Here is a 3,060-nt window from a genome sequence, read left to right on the forward strand (position 1 = left end):
GGATGAGGCGGGAGGATGACTTGAGGTCAGGAGTTTGAGACAAGCCTGGCCAACATGACAAAACCCTGTCCCTATTAAAAATACAAAATTAGCCAGGCAATGAGCCGGACTTGGTGGCGCATGCCTGTAATCCCAGCTACTTGGGAGGCTGAGGCAGGAGAATTGCTTGAACCCTGGAGGTGGAGGTTGCAGTGAGCCAAGATCGTGCCATTGCACTCCAGCCTGGGTGACAGAGTGAGACTCTGTCTCAAAAAAAAAAAAAGTATATATATATATGTGTATATATATATATATATACACACACACATATATATACACACACACATATATTCAATGTATTGAATGGTCTGTCCAGTTGAAGCCCTGATTCTAGACTAGATAATTTGTTGGCTTCTTGTTAGATCACTCTTAACAGAAATGTGACTGGACTTAGAATCAGTCTGGAAGCATTGTGGATACTCTGGAGTCTGACGTTTCTTGTCCCTTAACATTCAGCTCGTCTTTCCTGAGTTATACCTCTTAGTCATTTCCCTTTGAAATTAAGAGAAGGGCCTCAAATCTTAAAAATGGAAGAATACGGCCGGGCACAGTGGCTCACACCTGTAATCCCAGCACTTTGGGAGGCTGAGGCAGGCAGATCACCTAAGGTCAGGAGTTCGAGACTAGTCTAGCCAACATGGTGAAACCCCGTCTCTACTAAAAATACAAATATTAGCCAGGCATGATGGCGCACACCTGTAATCCCAGCTAGTCGGGAGGCTGAGGCAGGAGACTGGCTTGAACCTGGGAGGCAGAGGTTGCAGTGAGCCGAGATCACACCACTGCACTCCAGCCTGGGCGACAAAGTGAGATTCATCTCAAAAAAAAAAAAAAAAAAAAAAGGAGGGATAGAAGGTCTTGTGTTATTAAGACATAGAAGAAAAGTTAGTTGAGAATCTCACTGGCCACACCCCAAGAGGGGACATTTGGCCACTGCGGGTACATTGGGTGGTCTAGGGAATTGGCTGGGTCTGGGACACACTTGTTAAGCTCCTGAAACTTAGAGTTGAACAGAACAACAGCAGCTAGTATAACGACTTGAAAGGTCCTTTGATGAATTTTAATACCTGGACGCATAAATATTTGTGTTTGATACTTTTAGGCATCTGAAAGAAGTGTCTGATTTCCTTGCTAAGGGATTGGCCTCAGGAACAGATGCATACCAGTGTTGAAATTCTCCTCAGCCTCGTGACTGGCAGTGATTCTTGTGTATCTGCCCTCTGCCTGTGTTGGAGCTGCTAAATTGTAAGAATTTGTAAGTTGGTAAAATACTTCTAAAAACCCTCAGCTCCATAAATATTTTTAAATTTAAATTTAATTTTGTTTTAGAGATAGGGTCTTGCTATATTGCCCAGGCTGGTCTCAAACTCTTGGGCTCAAAGCATCCTCCCATGTCAGCCTCCAGAGTAGCTGGCACTACGGGCACATGCCTTGCTTTGCTCTTTAATTTTTTTTTTCTTTTTTTTTTGAGATGGTCTCTTGCTCTGTCACCCAGGCTGGAGTGCAGTGGCACAATCTCAGCTCACTGCAACCTCTGCTTCCCAGGCTCAAGCGATTCTCCTGCTTCAGCCTCCTGAATAGTTGGGATTACAGGCATGTGCCACCACACTTGGCTAATTTTTGTATTTTTAGTAGAGACGGGGTTTCACCACATTGGGCAGGCTGGTCTCGAACTCCTGACCTCAGGTGATCCACTCGCCTTGGCCTCCCAAAGTGCTGAGATTATAGGTGTGAGCCACCGTGCCTGGCCAGCTCTTTAAATCTTAACGTAGTAACACCGTTACTAATTTCTCAGCTGCTTTTCTGAGTTTAACAATTTCTGACTGAATGCTTTATTTATAGGTTGACAATTCTCAGTACCCCTAGTCAGCCAAATGTGTCTCTCTCCACAACAGAGACTCACCTTCTCGTGGCTGCAAGCTGTGCAGCTGAAGAGGGATTCTGGAGAAAGAAGGGGAATCCTTTTGTTTGGGTCTATTAATGCTACGCAATGTGCCTGGGTTCTTGGAGGGAGACATATCCCATTCTTCCTTATTCCCTCCCATTGACTATACAGGAGAAACTGTATGGAGCTTACTTCAGAAAAACTATTAAGTCCCAAAGATGTGAAGTGTTTTGAATTTTATTCAAGTCCAACCTTGCAGGGCAACAACTCAACACAGCCATTCCTGCTCTTTCAGGAGAAGCCACAAGTGTGGGAAGACAGGCAGCTAAGTCTAGGGCACAGACAAATTAGTCATACTGTCTGCTTAGATCCTGAGGGCCTGCGAAACCCTCAAGGTTTCCTGGTGTCATCTTAAGGTGCTAGTTATTCCATTCTGGCTGCCTTTTGATTCATTTGGTTTTCTGCCCACAGGCAAGCAGAGGCGAAACCAACCTGCCAACTCTTACCTCAAACCCATTGAGAGAGACCTGGGGATTTCCTAGGGTTTTATTTTTACCTATTGCTCCCCAAACAGAAGTTCCATTACACAGAAGCATTTCTTTTTTTCTTTTTCTTTTCTCTTTTTCTTTGAGACGGAGTCTTGCTCTGTCACCCAGGCTGTCATGCAGTGGCACCATCTTGGCTCACTGCAATATCTGCCTCCCGGGTTCAAGAGATTCTCAAGCCTCATCCTCTCGAGTAGCTGGGATTACAGGTGTGTGCCACCACATCCAGCTAATTTTGTATTTTTAGTAGAGACGGGGTTTTGCCATCTTGGCCAGTCTGGTCTCGAACTCCTGACTTCAAGTGATCTGCCCGCCTCAGCCTCCCAGAGTGCTGGGATTACAGGCATGAGCCACCGCGCCCGGCCACACAGAAGCATTTCTCAGTGCCTAATCTAGTTTGCATATCAACTATTATGGAATAAAGAAACCAACAAGACCTTGCATTGCACTCCCTGGGTGGGATGACATATGCCTATCAAGGCCAGAGCCTCCTGAAACCCATCTCTTATTTCTGTTGGCACTGCTCCCACCCAGACAGAAATGAGTTAGAGTGAGGCATTCTCCCTAGTAACCACGGGAAGTAGGATTTCT

At 45.5% G+C, this 3,060-nt stretch overlaps 1 annotated feature.

The window, feature by feature from the left end:
• Positions 2,447-2,646: an enhancer, noted in NCBI's record as "active region_17199". NCBI's record gives its function as "activates an Ori minimal core promoter by ATAC-STARR-seq in GM12878 lymphoblastoid cells {active_cell/tissue: GM12878}" and the evidence as "EXISTENCE:reporter gene assay evidence [ECO:0000049][PMID:35858748]".

Source organism: Homo sapiens, chromosome 2, assembly GCF_000001405.40.
Source record: "Homo sapiens chromosome 2, GRCh38.p14 Primary Assembly".
NCBI classification, from domain to species: Eukaryota; Metazoa; Chordata; class Mammalia; order Primates; family Hominidae; genus Homo; species Homo sapiens.